Consider the following 27,708-nt stretch of genomic DNA (forward strand, 5'->3'; position numbering starts at 1 on the left):
TCTGTAAGCATATAAACCAAGGCAAAATATAGTGTTTCATAAAGTAAAAATCTGTATTGCCATTTCAGCTTAAAAGCAGATCAAAAATATTTATTCTTGCCTTAACTCATAGCTTTGCAGTGTCAGGGAATGTGGTTTCATGTGTTTGTTCTCACTTATCTTCCCCAGGAAAATCCTGCAGGTGCTTTTGGTTAAGAACCCAATTCTACAAACAAGTTAGGAGAGAAAATTATAGCTTCATGCTAAAATACTTATGAAATAACAAGCACTCCATTTTAAAACAAAGCCATGAAAAAGATTCCACTTTATTTTATTTATTATTGTTATTGTTATTTTTACAAACAATAGATTTGCTGCAACATGCTCTGGCTCATATTATTGAATTAAAAAATTTAACACATTTCAAAAATATCAAAAATACACTATAATGAGTCTTAAGACTACAATACGACAATGATTGCACAAAACCGTAAGATATGAGCCCACTGTCTGGATGACATCCACTGGCAACAGTGAGAGAAAACCCTATAGCATCTGGGAGAAGTGCATGAAATTTAGAATACAAGGAACTTATGTGTGACTGACTGATCACCAAATGAGGCAAACAGAGCAGGATTGACTGTAGCTGCTTTTTCTCAATCTAGGAAGTGCTTACCCCAACTATGGGGCAAAAGTCACTAACTGGAAAGATTAACTTGCCTTCATGATTGGGAGTCGGAAAGCCTCCACCCAGAAGGAAGTAAAAAGTGACACTAGACAGTCCTATAGTGATGCTGAAGACATCACTGAATGGCTTGGAGACTAATTATTTAATAATTGGTACATTTATCGATAACAGCCAGCTGCTCCCTTATGGAGGTCTCTTCATTAATAATTATTGGATAGATAGAGAAGGTGAGCCTGTGGCTTCCAAGTACCGGCTTTTGCTGAAGGTCTACATGGGAAGAAGAGCATCATTTGATATTCAGTAGATCTGCCACACCCAACTGGCTCCATCTCCTGGAAAACAGCACTCACTACAAGCAACTGTAATAGCACCCAGCAATGACCACGCTGCTCCTGCTGGCTCTTCCGTACACCAGTAAATGAACTCACCAATGTATTGCACACATACACTTCACAGTAGTACAATAAAGCCCTGTATCAGGAGTGGTAATTCAATGACTTGACTCTATAGTGCACTGCAGCTTTATGTCATACCAACATTCAAATATTCAAATATCCTTCCAATCCATTTGGACAAAAATACACCATGGCTGCCAAGACACATGTATTTTTCTTTCTTCCATGGACTCCTAAACTGCTCCCACAATCAGCAGTGTTCTTCTCTCAGAAATTATCTTAAGCTTCTCTACTCAATGGGAGGTACACACAGAGACCTGAGAATATGCAGAGGCCAGAATCTCTGTCTGTGCTAGAGATCAACTGTACTCTGCCCACCTGGGGAACACATCCTCTGGGTAAAGTACTCGGAAGTAAATTACATTCACCTGGAGACAGATACGGGCTTTCACTGACAGCCTGTTTAGAAAACACAATGTCTGTAAGTTACCTCATAGGTCAAAGAGTTTTGTATTATATTTTTCATAATGGGCTATGGCCTTTTTACCCTGTTTTAATACAGAGCAACTGCAGAAGGACATGAATTAAAGCAGACTGCAAAAAAGAATAATCAGTTTTGGTATCGCCTATAACAAAGATTTTCAATACAACCTAATGGTTCCTGAAAAAAAATTCTACCACACAGAACAACATTTGGAATTACAGAGTTCTGCTGACTAAAAAATAAATACATTTACTTTTGGTAAGGTCATTTCAGAACTGGGTTTTGAGGTGGTTCCAATAAGTAGGTTGGGAAACGAATAGCAGACAAGAAGGGTTCACCATAATGAATAATTTTTATAAGACTATACTATTAAAGTGGTGTATTCCCAAAATAACTTTAATTTTTAGACATCACTATTCTACAACCCGAAGGTTCTGCCATCTAAGTAAGATGTTTTACATCACTCATCACTATCATCCTGTTATTTCATTTTCATTTTTTCTTCATTAAAAAAAATTTCCCATATAAAAATAAGGTGGCAAAACACTCTTGTTCCCATCTTTCTAACAGCACCTAAACTCTGTGTGAGCCACTATGTTCCCTACTTCAAATCAAAGACCTGAGTTCTAAAATTCTCAATAGCTGACCAGTAGTTTGACAATCTGGGGACTCAAGTTCAGATTCTCGAGGGGTTGAACATTAGACATCCATTAGAGTGTACCAAATCCCCCAAGAGTGTATCCCAATGACACGTGCATATGAGCATGGGGCCTCTGAGAAGATGAAGACACATAATTATTATGGACAGGTCATCTGATTTTGACTATTGCTTTGAACAAAAATCTTCCCAAAAATACACACGAAAATATATTTATATTTAACCCTCTCTTTAACATAGTTTCTGATGAAACAAATTAAAAATGGCCCTACTTTATTTTTAATTGTAAAAGTGTTCCAAAAATTCAAAGCACATTCCCCATTGGGTAAAATCAAGCAATGCCAACATTTTGTGGGAATAAATAGGAATTAATTTTCCTAAGCAAATCTTCCAATGGAAAAAGTGACAGAAGTATGAAGAAACTGCATTTTGCTAGGGTTATGTGGAATGTGCAAAGAGTATAGGTTTTCTGTAAGCTTAAGAATTTCTCAATGAAGTGTCTTTCTTATGTTAGTATTGAGCCCAGTATTCTGAAACCACATAAAGTGAATATGCAGTTTTCAGAAGAGTACACTGTTCAACATTCAAGAGGCGAGCTCTCAACTCACCTCCAACATTCTAGAGAACCATCCCTCTCCTCCAGCATAGGAGAAGGAACAAGTCTAACCTGAGTGCTCCATCCATCTGTTCTCATTGGCCTCAGTCCGTTTCAGAGTCATCTGCCATAACTTAAGGTCACGTGGATGCAAGCAGTGTCAGCCTTGGGCCCCCGCTCCCCGCCCTTAGGAAGCTGTCTGCCAATTCCTCCACATGCTAGGGAAAGACGCCAATCCCTAAATTTCCCTGGGAAATACCTAGCAGGTATCATATTTGTCAAGGGGTAATTCTCTTTTTCTGATCTAGGGAGAAGTAGTCTAGGTCCTCACGCCTTCCCCATTTTCATCCCCAAAAGAAGATCCTATTACCCCAAGTTTCTCAGGAGCTTTCACAGTCTGACATCCAAAAGTTAAATCAACTTCACAGGGCCCTTCCTATACCCTCGAATAAGTCTCCAACACCCAGTTCTCTCTCTGCCTATGGATGAAGGTGCCGGGCTGCCTCTAAGAAGATTGGCTCGAGTGCAGATTCAAAAATAAAAAGTTCACAGTCAATGAAAAGTGCTCTCATTACATTACATACATAAATTATCTGTTTGATTGGTTCTACATTTCCAACAGACATCATTTTGATAGGCTGTATTCTCGTAGAGAAGAATGAAAAGCCATGTGACTAGTCACATCACACCCCATTAGTCTGAGATAAGGTGATTTCTCTGTCACAGAGATCCATCAGCAGCAACTAGTAAAGAGAATCAATCTTCACTTTTTTCCTCCACAGAAATAGTCCCTTTCCTGCCCAGGCAGGCAAATTCTCAAAATGATCCTAGGAGAGAAAGGGTTAATGGCAGGTGGTAGGACTGATACAGAACAGCTGCTTTCTTCCCAGTACCCCTGGGAATTCCAATGCAGGTTAAATGTGAAACTTAACACTGATAGTGGCTACCAGTTTATCCAGAGCCAGCCCCTGATGGCTCTCACACTTTTTGGCTCCGAGTTCAACCCCACACAGCTATGGTTTAGAAATGTAGACGCAGGGCTGGGCATGGTGGCTGAGGCCTGTAATCACAGCACTTTGGGAGGCAGAGGAGGGTGGATCACCTGAGGTCAAGAGTTCAACACCAGCCTGGCCAACATGGTGAAACCCCGTCTCTAAAAAAAAAAAATAAAACTTAGCCGGGCATAATGGCAGGTGCCTGTAATCCCAGCTACTCGGGAGGCTGAGACAGGAGAATGGCTTGAACCCAGGGACAGAGGCTGCAGTGACCCGAGACCCCACCATTGCACTCCAGCCTGAGCGACTGAGCAAGACTCCGTCTCAAAACAAACAAACAAAAAAAAAACGAACAAACAAAAAGAAATGTAGAGGCAGAATGCCTCTAGCAAGTCCCTACCCCAACCCTGCACAGCCTCCTCCCACACTGTGCCCAGTGGGGCAGTCATAGTGCTGTGTCGAACTCCTCCGGGGGCTCGGTCCGATCCTCTTCATGGGGCTCAGGCTCGAGCCGGCTGTCCTGGTGCTGTTTCATTTGTTCCTTCACTTCTTCTTCCAGGTCATGAGGCACAACAAACTGGTCCTCTGGTTCCATCTGAGTGGGGGCAGCAAAATAGCCAGTTTTCCTCTTGGGCACTTCTGTGGCCACTTCAATGAGGTTCAGGCTGTCCTCTAGGGGCACAATAGAGCCATTGGAGAGTTTCTTCCCATAGAGGCAGGAGGTGGAGGGAGACTTCTGTAACTCCATCCTGTCCTTGCTCATTGGCAGGAGCATGCCACTATTCACACTGTTCTGTCTTCGGATCCCAAAACACGACCCTCTAGCATGTTCCTCAGAACACAGGGTAGGAGAACTCTCTATGAGAGGGGGTGAGTTCTCCAGATCCCTCCCCCTGCAGCAGTGGATGTCTACTTCCACCTCTACCTTGCTGCCATTGGTTATGACCCCCTCAACGGGCTGGTCATCATCACTGTCCAGGCCGTTGTCAGACTGGTTACTGGAGAAGGTAGCAGAAGAAGGCTGGCGCTGAAACAGCCCAGAGGTGGGTGTTGGGTGGAGGCTGCAGCGCCGCTCTGGCCTCGGAAGCAAGGCAGTGTCCAGGCCCCCAGCATTATGCTCATCAGAAGCAGTGGACCCCACTTCACTGCTCACCTCTGAGGTGGACATCTCACTGCTGAACTCAGAGGCAATCCCACTGCTAGAGGATGGAGTGGCTGGCTTAGGGGCATCCTTGATAGTGGTGGTTGAAGCAAATCCCACAGGACCTGGGAGGGTGAGCCCATTCATTTCACAAGTGCAGCCTTCCTCACCAATATTCAAATAAACTACCATCGCCCCTACATTGTCCTGACAGCCATAGCTCTGCGCTAATGTGCACAGCTTCTTAGCAGCTGCTAATGGGTCTTGTACGTGACGTACAGCATTGACAGCTTCTGTGTAGGACAAGTGTTCCCACAATGCTTTGTTTCCCAGAATCAGCAACTCATCTTGAATGGTCAGCGGAGTGGAAGATATGTGGGGCTTGGGGAGGATCCAAGGGTAGAGGTATGTACAGCCCAGCATCCGGGTACAGCAGGTTACCCCATTCACTTTGTTGTCCTACAGAAGAGCAGGACACAAATTCTGAGAAACAAGCAACGATGAGAGCCAACTTATCTTTCTAGATCACAGTGCTTAGGGAACTATAATAAAACAATTTATATATGATTTTTCCTATGGATTAGTATAATTTTAAATGGATGCACACAAATAAATGTAGAGAAGTCCTAAAAGACAAAATATTATATGGTTACTATAGAGCCAAGTAAAAATAAGTGACTAAAAGGCACCACCATCCCAAAAGATGTTTGCTTTAACATGAAGAACAGGCCTCAGTATGTCTATAAATAGAGAAACATGACAGAAAAACAGTAAGCAGAACTATCATTAATTCTCTATCACTAGTACTCTCAGAGAGGATGAAACAGAAAGGTCACTAAAAGTGATTTCTCACTTAAAGGGATGTCAGCTGGGACTGAAAAGATACCAATGGCAAAGACAATCTTGGCAGTTAAGGCATCAAATAATCTCTAAGGTTATTCAGCCTAAAAAAGGGGAGTCTGAGATGTGCAGCATAATTTACCTATGCTCTGGGGACTGTATCAAGAATAAATAGCGATCAAATCAAAATCCCTGTAATTCAAAACTTAGAGGAAACAGAGTAACCCTGCTTGCAGGTTGGGAATGCTCACAAGCCAGACACTTTGTTGTACTGATTTCAAGAAACGAAAAAAATACAAAACAAAACTCTAAAGTCATCAATAAATTAATATCACAGTTGCAATCACCCTCTGGGAGAAGACCTGAGCTTATTCGCCAGAATTTGTCATAAACTCTAAACTGTACTTTCTTCATCTGTAAAATGAAAATGGGAGTTTAACAACTACCCACTGAATTAGAAACTCTGGGGCTAGGGCCCAACAATTCATGGGAGTTACTGTTAAGATTAAGGAAAATAATAAAGGTATGGTGTTTGGCAAATAATGGACAAACAATAAATGCTTGTGGCTAAAATAACATTTATAAAAATACTTCCTACTTGTCTACAATCCCCTAAGAAAAATCTAAACATTGGCCAGGGACGGTGGCTCACGCCTGTAATCCTAGCACTTTGGGAGGCCGAGGTGGACGGATCACCTGAGATGGGAGTTGGATACCAGCCTGACCAACATGGAAAAACCCCATCTCTACTAAAAACACAAAATTAGCCAGGTATAGTGGCGCATGCCTATAGTCCCAGCTACTCGGGAGGCTGAGGCAGGAGAATCGCTTGAACCTGGGAGGTGGAGATTGTGGTGAGCCAAGATCACGCCATTGCACTCCAGCCTAGGCAATAAGAACGAAATTCTGCCTCAAAAAAAAAAAAAGAAAAGAAAAATCTAAACATTATCCAAATTCTATAAAAAGACTAGTCAAACAAAAAGTTATCTGAAGCCAGGCGCAGTGGCATGTGCCTATAGTCCCAGCTACTCAGGAGGCTAAAGCAGGAGGATCACTTAATCCAGGAGTTCAAGTCCAAACTGGATAACACAGCAAGACCTTGTCTCTAAAAAAAATAAAAATAAAATAACTAAAAATTTAAAACACTATCTTTTATCTTTCATTTGTTTTGACTGAAAGAGCTTCCCAAAACTAATGCCTCATACTTCCAGAATTCTAATAGTATCAATCACATAAAAATGATGGTTTTTGATTTTGTTTCCTTAGATGAACTCTAATATAGAATTCTGACAAAACAGCCCAGAAATGGACCCACACAAATACAGTCAACTGATCTCTGAAAATCAAAGAGCAAAGACCATACAAAGGATAGTCTTTTCAACAAATGGTCCTGGAACAAGAGGACACCTACATGCAAAACATGAATATAGATACAGAGCTTACACTTTTCACAAATATTAACTCAAAACAGACCATGGACCAAAATGTAAAACACAAAACTAAACTTCTAGAAGATAACACAGAAGAAAATCTAGGTGACCTTGGGTTTGGCGATGAGTTTTAGATACAATACCAAAAGCACGATCCATGAGATAAAAACTGACAGGTGGGCCTTCATTAAAACTAAAAGCTCTGCAAAAAAACACTGTTAAAAGAATGGAAAGACAAGCCCCAGACTGGGAGAAAATATTTGCAAAACAGGTATCTGATAAAGAACTTGTTTCCAAAATATACAAAGACTCTTAAAACTCAACAATACAGAAACAAACAATCCAATTTACAGTTCTCAAAAGATCTGAACGGAATTCATCACGGAATTCCACTTTGTGATAAACAATGTTCACAAGTAATTGCTAAAGTTCTTCTGAAAGCAAAAATGTTAATTTCTAAAAAAGGAGAAAAGCTATAAAACAGTAGAAATACTGATGTTTCATTATCAAAAGAGAACACCAGAGCATACTACACCACATAGAGTATAAACACAAAACATTTTGAAACTTTGCATTTCAGAATGGGGATGTCAAACTAGAGAACTCTTTCTTCTATTTGGAATAACAAACCAGATGAGCTGGAAATTAGCTAAGGCAGATATTTAACATCCATCTTACAACCCAGCTATCAATATACAGGATCACAAATTAGGATTTTGTATTTCTAATTCACTTTGCTTTTTCTTTGTGCTAGTCACTAACTGATCAGATTTTCCTCCAGTACTGTTGCTGAAACCATCTGCATTGAACTTTTATCTGGATTGGATACAATTTACAGGGCATGATAGGAAGAAAATGGGCCTTCATCACCTCTACACAAAGCAGCCTCCACTGATTTGGGGAGCAGAAGTGACTGGCGGGGAGCGGAACACACCTCTGTGATGATGGCTTTTTGGTCCTTCACCCTTTGAGCCTCCTCTGGGTCCTGCTCCAGGCTGAAGACTTTAGAGAGGGGCACTGGCTTCCCACCTCGGCACAGGACTGCTTGGCACGTGCCAACATTGGCTACAGTCAAGCTAAAGCTACTTGCTGGATCGGCAGTGTCAGGGCGGATGTAGCACAGGAGAGCGGAGGAGCCCAACTTCTGGCCAGCCATTCCTAATTTCCTGTTCAGAAAGAAAAGGAAAAGAAGACGTGGTGGCTAGTTTTAGAAGAAAGTGGTGGTCCTGCACGTACATCCCTTCTTTTTTTTTTTTTTTTTTTTTACCATGTGATCGTGAACCAGCCTTACCCTTATCCACCTAAATGCAGACTTGCTGTGGCTGATGGTGGTGGAGACAGTTCTGCCTTCCACTCTCGCTGAGGAAAAGGTTTTACAAAAGGGAGATAATCTCCCTTTTGCATCTTTCTCCATAGCTTTTGTGTCTGATCAAAGACTTCCTAATTCAGGGGCTCTCAAACTTTAACACATCAGAATCCCCTGAGGGCTTGTCAGAACAGGGACTGCTGGGCCCTAGGCCCAGAGTTTCTGAATCAGTGGGTAAGAGGCTGGCCCAATAAACTATACTTTAAGCAATTTCTGGTGAGGCTGAGAGGCTGCTGTTCCTAGAACAACACTTTGAGAACCACTCACTTAGGTTCTAAGTTCCTCGAGGGAAGGACCATGATTCTTGCATTTCCCCCATATGCAGGGCATCCACGCGTCTGTACTTGGAAACAATGTTAACGAGGAACAGACACTAGCAGAAAGACCTAGTTTCAAATCTCAGCTCTGCCATTTTCTGGCTACAGACACTCAGCAAGCCATTTCTCCAGGAAATTTCTCTGATAAAATATATAGCATGGAAAATACTTGCTACAATTCCTGGCTTGAGTTGCTTCATAAATGGAGTTCCCTTTCCTAAACCCTTTATTTTTGCAAAGTCTCTAGCTCAATTATACTACTGAAAAACTGACTTCTTCCTAACACTTTGCTTTGTGTTATGACAGATAAAACTAATTCAAGCCCATCCTGGCTAACACGGTGAAACCCCATCCCTACTAAAAATACAAAAAATTAGCCTGGTGCAGTGGCTCACGCCTGTAATCCCAGCACTTTGGGAGGCCGAGGTGGGCAGATCACGAGGTCAGGAGATCGAGACCATCCTGGCTAACACGGTGAAAACCCATCTCTACTAAAAATACAAAAAATTAGCCGGGTGAGGTGGCGGGCACCTGTAGTCCCAGCTACTCGGGAGGCTGAGGCAGGAGAATGGCGTGAACCCGGGAGACGGAGCTTGCAGTGAGCCGAGATTGCACTACTGCACTCCAGCCTGGGGGACAGAGCAAGAAGACTCCGTCTCAAAAAAGAAAAAAAAAAAAAAAAAAAAAAAACTAGTTCAAGCTCCAAGCTGTTCCATTTCAACCTGGATTATACAAGTTGACAAACAACCTCTCAGTTGTTCCTATCCTTTATCGGTCCACCTGACATGCAAATGCTCCATTACAGTTAGGTTATACAGATGTCCTCAACTTATGATGGTTCAACTTAAGATTTTTTGACTTCACGATGGTGCAAAAGCAATACTGTATGCATTTAGTAGAAACTGTACTTTGTATTTTGATCTTTTCCTGGGCTAGTGACATGTGGTACGATGTTCTCTCATGATGCTGGGCAGAGGTAGCGACCCATAGCTCCCAGCCAGCCACTTGATCACAAGGGTAAACAACCAATACAGTGCCCTGTGTCACCACATGATTTTGCCCAACTATAAGCTAATGGGGTAAGCGTTCTGAGCACACTTAACGTAGGCTAGGTGAAGCCATGATGTTCGTTAGGTTAGGTGTATTAAATGTAGTTTCTACTTACCACATTTTCAACTTATGATGTCAGGCTTACATCCTTATCAGGGTGTAACCCTATTCTAAGTTGAGGAGCATCTGTATATGGTTTTTGCCCTTAAGTGGCTTATACTTTACTTAGAAGATTAGTTTGGTAAAACCCCAGAAAGAGGCATTCTAAACGTTATCAATCTGATAAGTATTTGGTTAACTGTTTTGTAGGTCACTGACTGCTTGGACAATCTTATGAAAGCTGACCACCTTCCTCCTCAAAATGTACAACCACATATATATACACACACAACATTTTGCACATAAATTCTGGGCTTCCCAGATCCTCAGCAGCCTTTGGATTCAACAGAGAAAACAGATGACCCCCACAGGCTTTTGAAAGAGCCGAAGTCCCCGCACTCCATGCTCATATAGAGAATGATCATAGAAGACAACAACGTGAGTTCTCTCCTTGATCCTGTATCCATAATTTAGACCCTGACCTTCTGGTTTAGAAAAATATATTTTCCAAAAGTAGAACTGAGTTAGGGATTTTTCAACCCACCTGCTTACCTGTGAGATACCAAGAAGGTGTTAGCCATGAAAACTGTGTCATTAGTTGACTGCTGTACCTCTTCTAAAAGCACATCTGCCATCGTACACTGCAGCAGGCGCGGGAGCTCCTCATTTCGGTCTCCATCAAACATGCCATACACAGCTCCCACCCCCTCTGCAAAGCTATCCATAGCAAGTGCTGAGACACACAGCCTATAATAGAAACATGAAAACAGAAAACAGAAAAGTTACTGGTAAAATATTATTCTCCAGGGAGCATTCTTTTTTTTTTTTTTTTTGAGAGGGAGTCTTGCACTGTCACCCAGGCTGGAGTGCAGTGGCATGATCTTGCCTCACTGCAAGCTCCACCTCCCAGGTTCACGCCATTCTCCTGCCTCAGCCTCCCGAGAAGCTGGGACTACAGGTGCCTGCCACCACGCTGGGCTAATTTTTTTGTATTTTTAGTAGAGATGTTAGCCAGGATGGTCTTGATCTCCTGACCTCATGATCCGCCCACCTTGGCCTCCCAAAGTCCTGGGATTACAGGTGTGAGCCACCGCGCCTGGCCAGGAGCATTCTTTTAAAAAGTAAGTATTAATTAAAGGTGGCAAAGACTACTAGCAAATCGTAATCTACACGTAAGAAAAGTCCCTAGACATGATAATTAAGCAACATCTGAAAGAGCTAATGTCCTAAGGAAAGGGGAAACAGTCGCATTCATGGGCAGTACATATTAGCTTTGCAATGCTGCCAAAGGCTGGTAAGATAAAGCACTTTCTCTTAGTAGTGACTAAGGATTAGCTTTGTCAAGGCCTATCAGTCAAAGACCACCAGAGCACACCTATGGTTGAAAAAGTTGAGTTTATTACCCCTTATAGCAAATGAGAGTGCACCCCATGGAACCCCGGGGTATACAGGTAAGTCTTGCTGAAAAGAACCCAGTATAGGGTTTGGACTTTGGTTTGGTCACTTTGGGGAGGGTCTAAGGAAGAGGATCATACTAGACTGGGTGTCATCAGAAAGTGAGGCCATTCTATTGCTGGGTATAAAACTTATCTATAGGGAAGGAAAATTAGCAGAAGGATAAAGCTGTAACTGGTAAAGAAAGTAGCATCTACCCATCTTAGCCATGAAAGGGGGTGTTTGGTATTCTGTTGACTACACATTAGTATTGTTTTTGTCTTAAAACGTTATCATGATCCCAAAGGGATCTTATCTGACGCTGATGTTCTATGATTTGTCTGTGTACAACAGAACAACATGGCCTAGCTATTATGAGCATCAGGCCAGTTCTCAGATGCCAGGGGCTGCCTTTTTTCTTTCTCAGTCTCCATGGCCAATATACTCACTTATTTCTCTGCCCTGCCATCTCAGCCAGTCCATGGCTCCAGAAGGTTGACGTAACTGTAGAATCTGTGGTTGGCAAAGGTTTCTGATCAATTTTCAGGGTTGTGATATGGCTGTGGGAGGTGAAGGAAGATTAAACCATATATTCTTCTGTATTTTACAAAAACTATCCCAACAATAGTATTCTTTTTTTTTTTTTGAGATGGAGTCTCCCTCTTGTCACCCAGGCTGGAGTGCAGTGGTGTGACCTCAGCTCACTGCAACTGCTGCCTCCCGGTTCAAGCAATTCTCCTGCCTCAGCCTCCTAAGCAGCTGAGATTACAGGTGTATGCCACCATGCCCGGCTAATTTTTGTATTTCTTTATTTTATTCTATTTTATTTATTTATTTTTTTGAGACGATCTCCCTCTGTTGCCCAGGCTGGAGTGCAGTGGCGCAATCTCGGCTCACTGCAACCTTCGCTTCCTGAGTTCAAACGATTCTCCTGCCTCAACCTCCCAAGTAGCTGGGATTACAGGCACCTGCCGTAACAACCAGCTAATTTCTGTATTTTTAGTAGAGACGGGGTTTCACCATGTTGGCCAGGCTGGTCTCGAACTCCTGACCTCAAGTGATCCGCCCGCCTCGGCCTCCCAAAGTGCTGGGATTACAGGTGTGAGCCACCGCTCCCGGCTAATTTTTGTATTTTTAATAGGGATGGAGTTTTGTCATGTTGACCAGGCTGGTCTCAAACTCCTGACCTCAGGTGATCCACCCACCTTGGCCCCTCAAAGTGCTGGAATTACAGGCGTGAGCCACCACGCCCGGCCAACAATAATATTATCTTTTTTTTTTTCTCTTTTTTGAGAAGGAGTCTCGCTGTGTCGCCCAGGCTGGAGTGCAGTGGCGTGATCTCTGCTCATTACAAGCTCCGCCTCCCGGGTTCACGCCATTCTCCTGCCTCAGCCTCCTGAGTAGCTGGGACTACAGGCGCCCGCCACCTCGCCCGGCTAATTTTTTGTATTTTTAGTAGAGACGGGGTTTCACCATGCTAGCCAGGATGGTCTCGATCTCCTGACCTCGTGATCCACCCACCTTGGCCTCCCAAAGTGCTGGGATTACAGGCGTGAGCCACCGCACACGGCCAATAATATTATCTTTTAATAAAATAATCTATGGACTGACTAAGATTCATTTCCAGAGAGACTGATGAAAGTAGTATGCTGAACTACTGGCAAAGAAGGAGGGGAGAGAAAGGAAAGGGGTAGGAGGATCAAAGGGGTAGGAGTTTCAATAAAAAACTAAGCACAACAAAGATTTCTATGTTTTAGCCAACCATCTATTTATGTTAAGTATTTTGATACAATGAAGTCTTGGTACAATGGATGAACTTGTATTGTCTCTTAGATATTATATAATCTGTGCCACCTAAAACATCTATGCCTGTTGTGAAAATATTCAGTATGTTGGGGGGTAGTAGCCATGGAGTAGTCCTAATATAAACAGGTTGACTACTGGATAGAACATCTATTCATAACTTAATCAAAGAAGAGAACCTAGGGGCTTTATAGCCTAACTTCATTCTGTTCTTTTAATTAATCAAGATCTCCACAGTACTAAGGAAGACCTACACATGGCTGGTGGGCTAAGAGCACATAGAGATTCCATTTCAAATTTTTTCCTACCTAAATATGTCCAGTGTCTTGTGTTCCAGAACCAGATTTGTATTTCCAGTCAGGTCAAGGTCTTGTAATGTAGCAGGCAAAGCCTCTGGAATCAGGATTTCTGTCAAGTCGTTGCAACTTAGGTCTACAAACTAAGAAAAAATTGAGAAATCAAAAGAAAATACATCACAGAGACTTAGTTCTTTACTCCCAAGTGTCCAATCTCTTACTATATCCCCAAAGAGGAACTTAATTTCTTCCCAGGAATCCATTACATAAATTCTGGTCCCAAACTGGAGCACATAAGAAGACAATAATATTTTTCCTTATAAGAATAATCTCATTCACACTCCTTTCTTCTTCTTTATAAAAGGAAAATAATGTCATTCACTCTCCTGCCATTTCCCCCAATAAGGACATCATTCCAGCACACAGAAGTACCTGGATCTGAGGCAACTGCAGTATTTCTGGGAAAATGCTGATGTTGTTGGAGTGTGCAACAAGGGTGTGCAGCCTTTTACAGTTTGCTATGGTTGTGGGAATGGTTTTAAGCTTGTTGCCACTTAGGTTCAGTTCCTCCAATTGCTCCAATTTATTTAGTTTGCTGAAAAAGAAACAACAGAATACTATAATGCACCAAGACTGAGCAGCTGCCAAGGAAGTGCTATTCTACAGCAGCCACAGAGTACAGAAGGCCGACACGGTCCACTGCCAGATGACTGGTGAGAAATGAAACCGATACCAGGAATACCAGGAAAGGCAATGGCTCAAGAAGATAACTACTCCTGCTATAACTAAGCCTGATCTGCCTCAGTGTGTTTCAAGGGCTGTTGGATCTTGTGGGCAGGAACATCTTCCTGTTACCTAATGTACAAAAAGTGGCTAGAAAAGGAGTGGCCTCAAGTTGGGGGATTAGTCTTGATGCTTGCTTTACCACTAACTAGCGGCAAAATACTAAGTAAGTCAATGTCAGCAGTCTTTAATACCCTCAGCTGTAAAAAATGAAAAATGAGGTTGTACTAAATCATCACAAAGATTTTTTTTTTTTTTTTTTTTTGAGATGGAGTTTCACTCTTGTTGCCCAGGCTGGAGTGCAATGGCCTGATTTCAGCTCACCACAATCTCTGCCTCCTGGATTCAAGCAATTCTCCTGCCTCAGCCTCCCGAGTAGCTGGGATTACAGGCATGCGCCACCACGCCCGGCTAATTGTGTATTTTTAGTAGAGACAGGGTTTCTCCATGTTGGCCAGGATGGTCTCAAACTCCCAACCTCAGGTGATCTGCCCACCTCAGCCTCCCAAAGTGCTGGTATTATAGGCATGAGCCACCGCACCCGGCCCATCACTAAGATTCTTTACAGTTTTAAATTTCTATACTTACCCATTCATGACATTAACTCATCTCCACTAAACATTTATCAAGTTCTTATTATACACACAGCACTGTGCTGTGAGGCAAGTGATTCACACTGTTCCATGACTGAGCAAAGCTTTCTACATGGTAAGCAAAATAACTTAAGTGAGACTAACACCTTCAGGTTATTACAAATAGTTCTAATTTATTTTGATTTATTGGTTTAAAAATTACAAAAATAATAAACTGCTGTTAACATGGAGAGAAAGTGAAAAATAAAGAAATACATCACCAATACCAGCAATCTGAAAGAATCACTTTTATCATTTTGCTGAATTTCCTATCAAATGTTTCATATATTTGTTTTACAAAAATTTTATATCTTGCCTTTTTCATATAACATATCATAAATAATTTCTACTCCTAGAAATTTCATATTTTTAAATAACTAAGCTTTGTAAATTACAATTATTTTTTCTGATAAAAATAATATATACTCACTGAAAAAAACTGAAAAATAGAGACAAACAGGAAAAAAAATCTTTTAATGCTACTTCATTAAAATAAATTAAATAATCTCTGATAACATTTTAGTAGATAGTATTCTCGTCTTTCTTAAGGCATGAAACTACACTTTTCAAATTAAAAAATGGTATTATAGGCCAGGTAGGTGTGGTGGCTCACACTTGTAATCCCAGTACTTTCAGAGGCTAAGGCAGGTCAGTCGCTTGAGCCCAGGAGTTTGAGGCTGCAGTGAGTTATTACTGCACCACTGCACACCAGCCTGGGTGACACAAGACCTTGTCTCAAAAAAAAAAAAAAAAAAAAAAAAAAGGTACTATATTATATACACTGTATTTTTTTTTTTTTTTTTTTTTTGAGATGGAGTCTTGCTCTGTTGCCCAGGCTGGAGTGCAGTGGCGCAATCTTGGCTCGCTGCAACCTCTGCCTCCTGGGTTCACACCATTCTCCTGTCTCAGCCTCCCAAGTAGCTGGGACTACAGGCACCCGCCACCATGCCCGGCTAATTTTTTGTATTTTTAGTAGAGATGGATGGTCTCGATCTCCTGACCTCGTGATCTGCCCACCTCGGCCTCCCAAAGTGCTGGGATTACAGGCGTGAGCCACTGCGCCCGGCCTATACATTGTATTTATGATTTTATTTAACAATATATTTTAAAAGTGTTCCCATGTCCAAATCTCGTGCTTTTTTCCCTTATCCTGCCTGGATTTTTCTGACTTGTAAATAGAAATGCAGCCTCCTCAATCAGTTTCTGAGTACCCAGAACTGTGCTAGATTCTGAAAATAGTTCAAAAGAAACAAACAAGATTTCTATTGTGCCTATACAATTACAACACTGCTCAGGAAATGAACTGATAGTGGATTTATTATTTAGTACAGAACACACATTTTTAAAAATATGTTGTTCCTGAATTCCATTCAGTTTTATTATATATATTCAGATTACTCTATTTTTTGTGATGTTAATTCTTGTCTTTGTCTTTTTTTTTTTTTTTTTGAGATAGGGTCCCGCTCTGTTGCCCAGGCTGCAGTGCAATGGCGCAATCTCAGTTCACTGGAACCTCCACCTCCCAGGTTGAAGCGATTCTCATGCCTTGGCCTCCTGAGTAGCTGGGATTACAGGCAGGCACACAACACCACACTCAGCTGATTTTTGTATTTTTAGTAGAGACAGGGTTTCACCATGTTGCCCAGGCTGGTCTTAAACTCCTGATCTCACGTGATCCACCCAACTCAGCTTCCCAAAGTGCTGGGATTACAGGCGTGAGCCACCGTGCCAGGCCTAATTCTTGTCTTTATTACTAACTTCTTATTTTCATTTTCTTTGATATGTTTTAAGTTTTATATCAACCTGCTTTTGACCCCTCCAACAATAAAAGTGTCATCAAATTAGGTTTTACAGCATTATGCCTGGTACCATCCAACAGCTTCCAGTGGTCTATTATTTTCACTTTATATGAACATATTTGAGGTCAATTAGGTTAATCTGATAAAATTTCAAGAGAGCTACCACACCCTGAAATTAAGATTCTGCATTCATTTTAGAAGTCATTAAAAAAAAATGTAAAAGTAAAAAGTCATTGTTTTAATTCTTTCAAGGAGGCTGACCAGGCACAGTGGTTCACACCTATAATCCCAGCATTTTGGCAGGCTAAGGTGAGATGATCACTTGAGGCCAGGAGTTCAAGACCAGCCTGGACAACACAGCGAGATCCCACCTACACAAGTTTGTTTTGTTTTGTTTTGTTTTTTTTGAGATGGAGTCTTGCTCCGTTGCCAGGTTGGAGTTGCAGTGATACGATCTTGGCTCACTGCAACCTCTGCCTCCGGGGTTCAAGCGATTCTCCTGCCTCAGCCTCCCAAGTGGCTGGGATTACAGGCGCCCACCACCACACCTGGCTAATTTTTGTATTTTTAGTAGAGACGGGGTTTCACCATGTTGGCCAGAATGGTCTTGATTTCTTGACCTCGTGATCCGCCCGCCTCGGCCTGCCAAAGTGCTGGGATTACAGGCATGAGCGGCCACGCCCGGCCTCTACAAGTAAAAGGTTAGTCGGGTGCGGGCCGGGCGCAGTGGCTCACACCTGTAATCCCAGTACTTTGGGGGGCCAAGGTGGGCGGATCACGAGGCCAGGAGTTCGAGACTAGTCTGGCCAATATGGTGAAACCCTGTCTCTACAAAAATACAAAAAATTAGCCAGGTGTGGTGGCACATGCTTATAATCCCAGCTACTTGGGAGGCTGAGGCAGGAGAATCACTTGAACCTGGGAGGCAGAGGTTGCAGTGAGCCAAGACCACGCCACAGCACTCCAGCCTGGCCAACAGAGCAAGACTCCATCTCAAATAAATAAATAAATAAATAAGTTGGGTATGGTGGTGCATGCCTGTAGTCCCATCTCCTTGGAAGGTTGAGGCAGGAGAATCACCTGAACTCCAATCAAGTTTCTCCTGTATGTCTTCTGAAGCTCTATCTCATGTTGTAAATGGTAAATGTTCATAAAAATTATAATTTTATAATTTACATACATATAATTTCATCCAAAATTATTAATATCAAATGTCATTGCCTCACATTCTTAGTTTTTGAAAATATTATTTTTAATGACTACCTTCATGGCATAGATTTTTCTGGTGTTAAATTTTCCAGGTTTTAGCTGGTCATGGTGGCATGTGTCTGCAGTTTCAGGTACTTGAGAGGCTGAGGTAGGAGAATCACTTCAGCCCAGGAGTTTGAGACCAGCCTGGCCAACGTAATGAGATCCCATCTCTTAAAAAAAAAGTTCTAAAGTTGTTTTTTTTTTAACCAAATGTACTTTGAAAGGTATTTACTTATCCACTGACACTGTCTCAAACTTTCACAGCATTAAACATCTTTCTTATGTCTTCTTATAGGTATAGCCTGGCTAACTACTATTCATCTCTTCCTCCAGGGAGCCTAGCCCCATCCCCAGGCTCTGTGCAGTGTGACCGGCAATGTATGCATATCGTCTTTAACAGCCTGCCTTTCTATTTATTTATTTTATTTACTTAGTTATTTTTTTGAGACACAGTCTCACTCTGTCGCCCAGGCTGGAGTGCAGTGGTGCAATCTTGGCTCACTGCAACCTCCGCCTTCTGGGTTCAAGCAATTCTCCTGCCTGAGCCTCTCGAGTAGCTGTGATTACAGGCATGTGCCACCACGTACGGCTAATATTTTGTAGTTTTAGTAGAGATGGGGTTTCACCATATGGGCCAGGCTGGTCTCGAACTCACGAACTTGTGATCCGCCCGCCTTGGCCTCCCAAAGTGTTGGGATTACAGGCGTGAGCCACCACTCCCAGCCAAACACCCTGCCTTTCTTAGACTGCACTGCAACTGCCCATCCACTTGTTTATTTTCCCAATTTGACTATACATTCCTAGAGGACAGAGACTGTAACTGTTCACAATACTTGACATATAGTAAGCATTCCATTTTTGTATTATGAATAAATAGATAACAGTATTTTACAAAACAGTGCTGACAAGAGAAAAGAAAAAATTGTCTTCAGAATCTGTTTCATAAGCCTGTACTTTTCTAGATTGACTATTAGACCATAATTAAGAAGTCACAACTAAAAATTAAACATATTTTAACCAATTTTCCTGGTTACCAATACTTAACAGGGTACTAACTATTAAGATGAGATTTTGCCACTCAACTAGTGAAATCATAGCATCTGTAAGTCAGTGAACGTAAACAAAGAGTCATAGTCAGATGGCTATATTTTTTCTGACAAATATAGAATTAATGTTGTGTATTTGAAATGATCAAAGTTTGCATTCATTTTACCTTGCAGGAAAGGTCTGTAACTGATTGTTTGCAAGGTGCAAGATTCGCAGGTGCAGGTGCCCTACCAGGACAGGTATGCACTGATCCGTCAGGAGATTGTTGGTCAGATAAAGCAGCTGCAGCATACTCAAACTCTCCTCTCCAGTGCAGGCGGATGGTAAAGACTCCAGACTATTTGCAGATGCATTCAAGTATCTGAGACTGACAGAACACACACAGATCATCACCTCCTTTAAGTTTATTTGCTGCCTTCCTATATAGAAACCATCATGTCACCTCAGTATGGAATGCTGCCATTCTAAGCTTCCAAATGGGAAAAAAAAAAAAATCTCCACGTAGTTTTTCTCTAATTGATCCTATCCAACCCAAAGTTCCTTTTACTCAACTCATGCAAACCAAGTAGAGAGGAAAAAGTACAAGCCTGGTTGTTTTCCCAGGCTTCTGGAGTGCCTGATTCTAACCTAACTTCATCTTTTACTCTCAAACTGCCTACTGAAAGGATGTTGCTGAATATCATGTTCACATGTTTTTGAACTGTGAAGACACCATTTAGAAAAACTTTTGTCTGGGCCAGGCGCAGTGGCTCACGCCTATAATCCCAGCACTTTGGGAGGCTGAGGTGGGCAGACTACAAGGTCAAGAGATCAAGACCATCCTGGCCACCATGGTGAAACCCCGTCTCTACTAAAAAAAAAATACAAAAATTAGCTGGGTGTGGTGGTGCACTCCTGTAGTCCCAGCTACTCGGGAGGCTGAGGCAGGAGAATTGCTTGAACCCAGGAGGCTGAGGTTGCAGTGAGCCGAGATCGTGCCACTGCACTCCAGCCTGGCAACAGAGTGAGACTCCATCTCAAAGAAGAAAAAAAAAATTTTTTTGTCTGGTTTTAATAGCATCATTATGTATTCAGCCAATTCCATAATCCCCTAATAAAGAACATATAGGCTGTTTCCATTTCTATACACATGCTATTATAGACACTGTAATGAGCATCTTTGTATCCTTAACCAATTACTTCCTTAGGGTACATTCCTAAAAACAGAATTTGTGGGATCAAAGGATATACATTTTTTAGAGATTTAATATATTGCCAAACTGAGCTCTTGAAAGAGTATATGAAATTATACTTCCGGCTGGGCGAGGTGGCTCACGCCTGTAATCCCAGCACTTTGGGAGGCCAAGGTGGGTGGATCACGAGGTCAGGAGATGGTTAACATCCTGGCCAACATGGTGAAACCTCATCTCTACTAAAAATACAAAAAAAAAGCTGAGTGTGGCGGCACATGGCTGTAATCCCAGCTACTTGGGAGGCTGAGGCAGGAGAAATCGCTTGAACCCAGGAGGCGGAGGTTGCAGTGAGCTGAGATCGTGCCACCGCACTCCAGCCTGGCGACACAGCTAGACTGCATTTCAAAAAAAAATAAACTATACTTCCACAAGAAGACTATTAAGAATGCCAGTTTGTCACACCTTTGTCAACACTGAATATTACAAATCCATTAATCTTTGCCAGTCTAGTAGATAAAACATGGTATAATTTTAAAATTTGCTAACATAGTGTTTAGTATATACAGAACATTCTCAATAAAAGGCAGCTATTATTACTAAACTTGTGTGTTCTCAGGTCTTCTTCATGTTGTATGATCCATAATCCCTGATTCACTTTTTATATTGAAATATAAGTTTTACATAACGAATTAGCTTTTAAGCTAATGGCAGGTACTGTGTGTCTGCTTGTGCTGTGGTCTCAACAAAGCTCTTTCCAGAGTTTGTATTAAATAAATACCACTGACAGTTCGCTACAGCTAAGTTACTCACTAAAGATTCTAAGGTTGTAAACTAATTTCATTCAGACTACCATAAGGACCAAATGCAGCGTTATGCATTGCTAACAAACATTTGTAGATTAACAACTGCATCAATACTCCATTAAATGTTACATAAAGAAAACTTCCTTTAAATACGTTTTAGAATTTCCAAAGATTTTATTTTGAAGACTATCCAATCAACTGTATTATACATTAAGAGATGTATAAGCTGCTAAAGAGAGAACAAGCCAGACAACTGTGGGCTAAACAGTTTTTTACGTCTCCTATTCATTTACTTCTGCTCACCTCTGTTTTCTCCATTTCTAAATTGAAGACAATATTGCTTTCTCCACGTTGTAGAAAAATATAATAAAAACTAGTTTTCAGTGCTTGCTTTGGCAGCACATGTACTAAAATTGGAACGATATAGAGAAGATTAGCATGGACCCTGAGCAAGGATGACAGGCAAATTTGTGAACCATTCCGTATTAAAAAAAAAGAAAAGAAAAAGAAAAAAACTAGTTGTCAGGTTGGGTGCAGTGGCTCATGCCTGTTAATCCCAACACTTTGAGAGGCCAAGACAGGCAGATCACTTGAGTCCAGGAGTTTGAGACCAGCCTGAACAAAACGGTGAAACTGTGTCTCTACAAAAAATAAAATTAGCCAGGTGTGGTGGTGCATCCCTGTGGTCCCAACTACTTAGTAGGCTGAGGAGGAAGGATCACTTGGACCCAGGAGGTCAAGGCTGCAGTGAGCTATGATTGCACCACTGCACTCCAGCCTGAGTGACAGAGTGAAACCATGTCTCTAAAAGCAAAAAACAAACAAAACAAACCCCACAAAAAACAAATAAACTCCACAAAACTAGTTTTCACTTAAAGGTGATGTACACATTAGGTAAACCTGATTACAGGCCTAAAATAGGAAGACATGTCATCTATTTGTTAATTTATAGTGAGAAGGCAAATGACACCTTCTGGAAGGACATTATCTGTAAATACAGTTTTCAAAAAGTACACAAAAAGGTTTGCACATAAAGACTGTAATTCAAAGGCGGTTTGGTAAAGCTAGGAGCAAAAACCAAATTAACTTTAGTGGTACGTCCTTTTCTCTCCAATGCAAAAGCTCAAAATTGCCCAAAGAAGCCACAGCAGAATGTTGTAATTTCTCTTTAAATATCATAACTATATTCATTTTCAGAGATGAAAGCCTGAATCTTCTCAACCTGTCTGAAATTGTTTACAACACAGAAACCTCTTTAAGGATTTAACAGTTATTTCAACTATGAGTTACTGCCTCATAAAACAGTGTCATATTTTGTTTCATAAAAATTGCAAATAAGTCTCCACTCATAGTTGGACTATTAGGTAAACGCTCTGTAAATACAGTTCCAAAGGTCACTCCAATGATAAGTCACTGCAGTCTGTTTAGCCAATGATTCTGCTCTTCCGAAAAAAATCCTATGATACTTACTTTAAGGCCTTGGAGAAGAGGGTGTCTGGCAGCCTCGTGAGTGCATTATGCTGAAGATCCAGCACCTCGAGGGGGATGTGCTCTACCAGTGTTGGAAGGTTTTGCACATGATTGTGTCCCAGCATCAGTTTTCTAAGACTCAAGCTACTCAGAATTCTAAGGGGGGAGCATACAAACAAACACATTAAAAACTTACTTAAATCATTCTTTCTGAGGCTGTCCTAGCCTATTTAACTGAAATTAGTTAACTTATAGAAACATATTCTCCTAGATTGTATACTCACTGACAAGTGCCTGAGCCAAGAAAGCAGCTATGACCATATGTTTACCTACCACCCACCAGGAAGTCATTAAGGTCATTCTGAGAAAAGGTGAATTAATGAAGGCAAACAGCACAGAGGAGATCTATACTAAAAAGGCAATTTCTAGAATAAATCAATTTAGATTTTAAGTCTAAGCAGCACCAAAAATTCAGTATATTAATATTAACACATCTTGTGAATAAATTCATAACATTTCATTACAATAAAAACTACTATTTATGGAGTGCTTAAAATGTGCTAAGCCACTTAACAATGAAGTTAATTCAGAAAGGTTCAGTAACTTTGATTTGCCTAAGATTTCACACTGCATAGTAAATGGTAAAGTCTGGACTTGAATTAAGGTTTGACTCCAAAGATTGTGTTCATATTTAGTATGTTAAACGCCTCTAGTTTAATTTTAAAGACTCCATAGAAAATAACATTTTATACCTCAATGCTTTGGAATGTATCATTCCCTGCCGCCTTCACCAAGCCCCACTCTCTTTCTCCCACCACTTAGAAAAATCCCATCATCTAGTAAAGGTCAATTCAAATGCCATCTTCTCCATGAAACATTCCCTAATTATTCAAATTTCTTCTGATTTTCTCCATTTAATTTATACAGTGTAGTGATTAAGAGTGAAGGCTCTGGCCGGGGGTGGTGGCTCATGCCTGTAATCCCAGCACTTTGGGAGGCAGAGGCGGGCAGATCACAAAGTCAGGAGATCGAGACCATCCTGGCTAACACGGTGAAACCCCGTTCTCTACTAAAAATACAAAAAAAAATTTAGCCGGGCGTGGCAGCATGTGCCTGTAGTCCCAGCTACTCCGGAAGCTGAGGCAGGAGGATGGTGTGAACTCAGGAGGCAGAGCTTGCAGTGAGCCGAGATCGCGCCACTGCACTCCAGCCTGGGCGATAGAGCGAGACTCTGTCTCAAAAAAAAAAAAAAAAAAAAAAAAAAAAGAGTGAAGGCTCTGGAGTAAAAACGACTACATCCAAGGCCAGGTGTGGTGGCTCACGCCTGTAATCTCAACACTTTGGGAGGCTGAGATGGGCCCATTGCTTGAGCCCAGGAGTTTGAGACCAGTGTGGCCAATATAGCAAAGCCCCGTCTCTACTAAAAATACAAAAATTAGCTGGGTGTGGTGGTGTGCACCCATAGTCCCAGCTACTGAGGGGGAGCTGAGGACAGAGAATCACCTGAGCCCAGCAGGTTGATGCTGCAGTGAGGAGTGACTGTGCCACTACACTCCAGCCTGGGTGACAGAATGAGACCCTGTCTCCAAAAAAAAAAGACTACCTTCAAATGCCAGCTCCCGTCACTTCCTGGTTAAGTGTAACCTTCAACAAGTTACCTAACTGCTCTAAGCTTTACATTCCTCATTTCTAAGATGAAGATAACAGCACCTATTAAATATATGATAAGGTTTTTAAAGGATTAGGTAAGATCATAAAAGTGATGTTCTTAGAACATTGCTCAGCTTATAATAGCTCATCCTATAAAAATTAACTATTATTACTATCATGTCACCAACCTATGGCAGCAACTCTTAGTGTATTTATTTCATCACAGTTATCCACATATGTTACACTATCTTCTCATTAAGTTCCTTGCAAGCCAAGCCCATGCTTTAGCCTTTACTATGTTCCTTACAGCACATCACACTGCCTCATGCTCAGCAGGTACTCAACACACTGAACAAATAAAAGGCAACCCAAATCTAGAAAAAAATTTAAATACGCACACACGTAAATGTTAGTATATACATAATATATGCATCCAGGCACACATACCTCACGGGAACCTCTGTGAGAAGATTATAGCTCACATCTAATACTTCTATCTTCTTTGCTTCACAGGCCCAGTCAGGGACACACTCTAGCAGGTTTCTGCAGAAAATAAATAATTAAATGGCACCATTTAAGATGACAAGTGGAACTCATTTCAGTAGGCTATAATGTATCCATTAACCAGCCTGTGAGCCCTTGAGGGCAGGAACACTGTCTCCAAGGCATCCCTTGGAACACTGCCTGGAATATAGTAGGTGCTCATTGAATGCTGCTGAATTAGAAGGGAGAGGAGAGACAAGTACCTGAAAATGTATAATACTGGATCAATTATGTTGCATGCTCAAAGAAGATAAAAAGGCTTTCTGCAATAGAAAAGCACACTTGTGGTGGGATGGGATGAGGGAAAGACAAGGAATTATAATTAACAAACCTTCAAAGATGAGTTAAGACTTCCACAGGTAATGACTGGGTGAGAAGAGAAGCAAATTCCAGGGAAAATTAACAGAATGAATACAAGTGAGACAGTAGAAGCAAAAGATAACTAGTGGGGGAAAAGTTTCAAACCATTTAGAATGTGAGCTCAAATAATTAGTAGAGCACTAGGCAGATATTTAGTCAAGAGAATTTTTTTTCAGATGTGACAGCTTCTCTAGGCCTCAAGGTATCTACAGGTTTATCAAGCGATATAATGAGGCAGAATGAAGCAGCGCTATGTAAGAGAAACACACATATTGCTATACCTTAGTGAAGGAAACCCTTTACCTAAAATGGATCAAAACAAGCTCTCTAAGAAATATGTGGGTTAGAATATGAAGATGTTGTACAAAGGCCTGAGGTGAGGAGCACATTCCAAGCACAGGGTGGCAACATGAGCTAGAGCACAGAGGCAAGAGAAGAAACATATGATGTGTATGGGGAATAACAAGCAGCTTGGTGATGCTGGAGCACCCGGAGGAGACGGCCTGGGCTGGAGATCTGAGTGTAGCTGAAATAACTGCAGTAAATGAGGTCACGTCCAATGAAGTATAGCAGACCAAGGACAGAACCTTGGGGATAATCGACCTTTAAAGGGCTAGCTGAGGAAGAAGGGTATGCAAAAGAAACATGGCCAAAGTGGCATGAAAAAAAATCAGACTGTATTAGCTAGCCAAGGAAAAAGCATGTTTGGAGAAAAGAGAGCAAAATTAACTGTGTCAACACAGAAAAGTTCCAATAAGAGCAGAACTAAACTGAGCTGTTAGAGGGATAAGCAGATGGGGACTGAAGAAACTAAGCCAACAAATGCACATAATTCTTGAGAAATTTGGACAAAAGGGGGAAGAAAGGAATTAAGAAAATAGTTAGGGGGATTGTGAGGTAAAGGGAACTTTGTTATGACAGAAGAGACAAAGTATGTGTACAGACTAAGAAAAAAGAGGCTGAAAACACACACACACACACACACACACACGAGAGGAGGGGAAGAGGAGGGGGAGAGAGGAGGACAATAATGACGACGAACAGTGCAAGGTCCAGGGCAGTGGGAGTGGAGGAGTCACAGGCACAGACAGCTGGACTGGCCATGAACAGAGGAGAGAAGCTGAGAATGAATACGCATCTATATAAATTCAAGCAAGGTGGGTGTTTGGAAGCTGAGGGAAATTGCCCACAATGGCCTCTATTTTCCCAATCAAGTAGGAAGCTAAGTTCCAGCATGGAGGAGACTGGGGAGGGGGACACTGAGGGAGGTAGATGCTGAGGACACTGGAAGGAGCTGGCAAGACAAAGAACCAATAAGCTCCAGATGAGGTTGGAAATTTTGAGTTTGTAGTGGTGTCTACTTGGATGTGATTTTCTTCGGCAATGATCAAGCTCAACGGAAAAGGTAAAATTTTAGTACTGATCCATGCTGGGGTTTTGCTGGGAAGATAAGCAGGAAGAAATGGAAGGGAATCTAAAACATTAGCTTAAAATGATAATGATAAAGTAACGAAATCAACAAAAAGAAACCTGGCTACAACAGTTAGTATTTCTTGAGATGACTACACGTCAGGTACTATCTTATGCATTTTGCATTTATCATCTCACTCAGTCTTCACAACAACCCTGACCAAATAGGACCCTGCCCACTGCCCCTTTGATCTGCTTTGGGCACCCTGTACTCACAGCACTTAGGATGCTGCCCTGTCACTGCTTGTTTGATTGTTCATCTTGCCACTAGACTGCAAAACTCTACCGCTGAACCCAGAATGCCCAACAGTGGTTATAAATGAATAAAAAGTAATAAAATCCTGAATATAATTAATGTCCCTTCAAAAATAAGACCAACATGAGTTATAGGAGTACAAAAAAATTAAATAATATTTTAAAAACCCACTATCTGGCTGGGCTCGGTGGCTCACGCCTGTAATCCCAGCACTTTGGAAGGCCAAGGCAGGCAGATCACAAGGTCAGGAGATCCAGACCATCCTGGCTAATGCAGTGAAACCCCATCTCTACTAAAAAAACAAAAAATTAGCCAGGCGTGGTGGTGGGCGCCTTTAGTCCCAGCTACTCGGGAGGCTGAGGCAGGAGAATGACGTGAACCCGGGAGGCAGAGCTTGCAGCGAGCCGAGATCACGCCACTGCACTCCAGCCTGGCCGACAGAGCAAGACTCCGTCTCAAACAAACAAACAAACACCCACTATCTAAAAATCAAGAATTATCTGATTCCAACTGACAAAACGGGAATCAGTGCCTTGAAGATAACAGGTCTTCCTTGTTTGCATCTCATCCTACATCTATAGTCTTTAAGAAAGAGTAATTCACAGACACCTTACTATTTCAAGAGAATCCTTCCTTTATACAGTAAGGCTATTAAACTTATTCGTCCATTCATCCTTTCTCCTTTTTCCAGGTTATCCAAGTATTTCAAAATACTTAGATTTCTTGTACATCAAAACTGCCAAAAAATCCACATGTATCTCTTAAATAGTAAGAAGCAAGCGCCACCCTCATGAAAGACACTCACCGGGAGAGATCCAAGAAAGTGAGCAGGCTGGGTACTGGATAGACGTTCACTGCTGTCAGCCCTAATCCAAAAACAAACAGGTGTTAGTGACATCCTC

At 41.6% G+C, this 27,708-nt stretch overlaps 1 protein-coding gene, 1 long non-coding RNA gene and 1 pseudogene across 3 annotated transcripts in view, besides 1 other annotated feature; 2 read left to right on the forward strand and 1 right to left on the reverse strand.

Annotated features, from left to right (window-relative positions):
• Window positions 1–273: 273 nt before the first annotated feature.
• Window positions 274–27,708, reverse strand: part of PHLPP2 (PH domain and leucine rich repeat protein phosphatase 2) — a 79,778-nt gene continuing 52,343 nt past the window's right edge. The window contains exons 10-19 of one of the 2 annotated variants that reach the window (NM_015020.3): window positions 27,612–27,672; window positions 24,625–24,720; window positions 22,528–22,683; window positions 19,249–19,449; window positions 14,003–14,165; window positions 13,583–13,713; window positions 11,921–12,031; window positions 10,590–10,784; window positions 8,140–8,371; window positions 274–5,394 (exon numbers count right to left, since the gene is read on the reverse strand). In NM_015020.3, the coding sequence (NP_055835.2) occupies window positions 4,240–5,394; window positions 8,140–8,371; window positions 10,590–10,784; window positions 11,921–12,031; window positions 13,583–13,713; window positions 14,003–14,165; window positions 19,249–19,449; window positions 22,528–22,683; window positions 24,625–24,720; window positions 27,612–27,672 (2,501 nt within the window). In that variant the 3' untranslated portion in view covers window positions 274–4,239. The remainder of the gene's footprint in view (window positions 5,395–8,139; window positions 8,372–10,589; window positions 10,785–11,920; window positions 12,032–13,582; window positions 13,714–14,002; window positions 14,166–19,248; window positions 19,450–22,527; window positions 22,684–24,624; window positions 24,721–27,611; window positions 27,673–27,708) is intronic. The other variant, NM_001289003.1, reaches the window with a different exon arrangement.
• Window positions 21,441–21,547, forward strand: RNU6-208P (RNA, U6 small nuclear 208, pseudogene; annotated as a pseudogene).
• Window positions 25,936–26,230: an enhancer, noted in NCBI's record as "tiled region #2747; HepG2 Activating DNase matched - State 5:Enh". NCBI's record gives its function as "activates a minimal TATA promoter and a strong SV40 promoter by Sharpr-MPRA in HepG2 cells {active_cell/tissue: HepG2}" and the evidence as "EXISTENCE:reporter gene assay evidence [ECO:0000049][PMID:27701403]".
• Window positions 26,150–27,708, forward strand: part of LOC124903712 (uncharacterized) — a 28,774-nt gene continuing 27,215 nt past the window's right edge. Inside the window, exon 1 of the long non-coding RNA XR_007065109.1 lies at window positions 26,150–26,237. This is a non-coding gene — a long non-coding RNA (uncharacterized LOC124903712). The remainder of the gene's footprint in view (window positions 26,238–27,708) is intronic.

This window comes from Homo sapiens, chromosome 16 (assembly GCF_000001405.40).
Source record: "Homo sapiens chromosome 16, GRCh38.p14 Primary Assembly".
Taxonomy (NCBI): domain Eukaryota; kingdom Metazoa; phylum Chordata; class Mammalia; order Primates; family Hominidae; genus Homo; species Homo sapiens.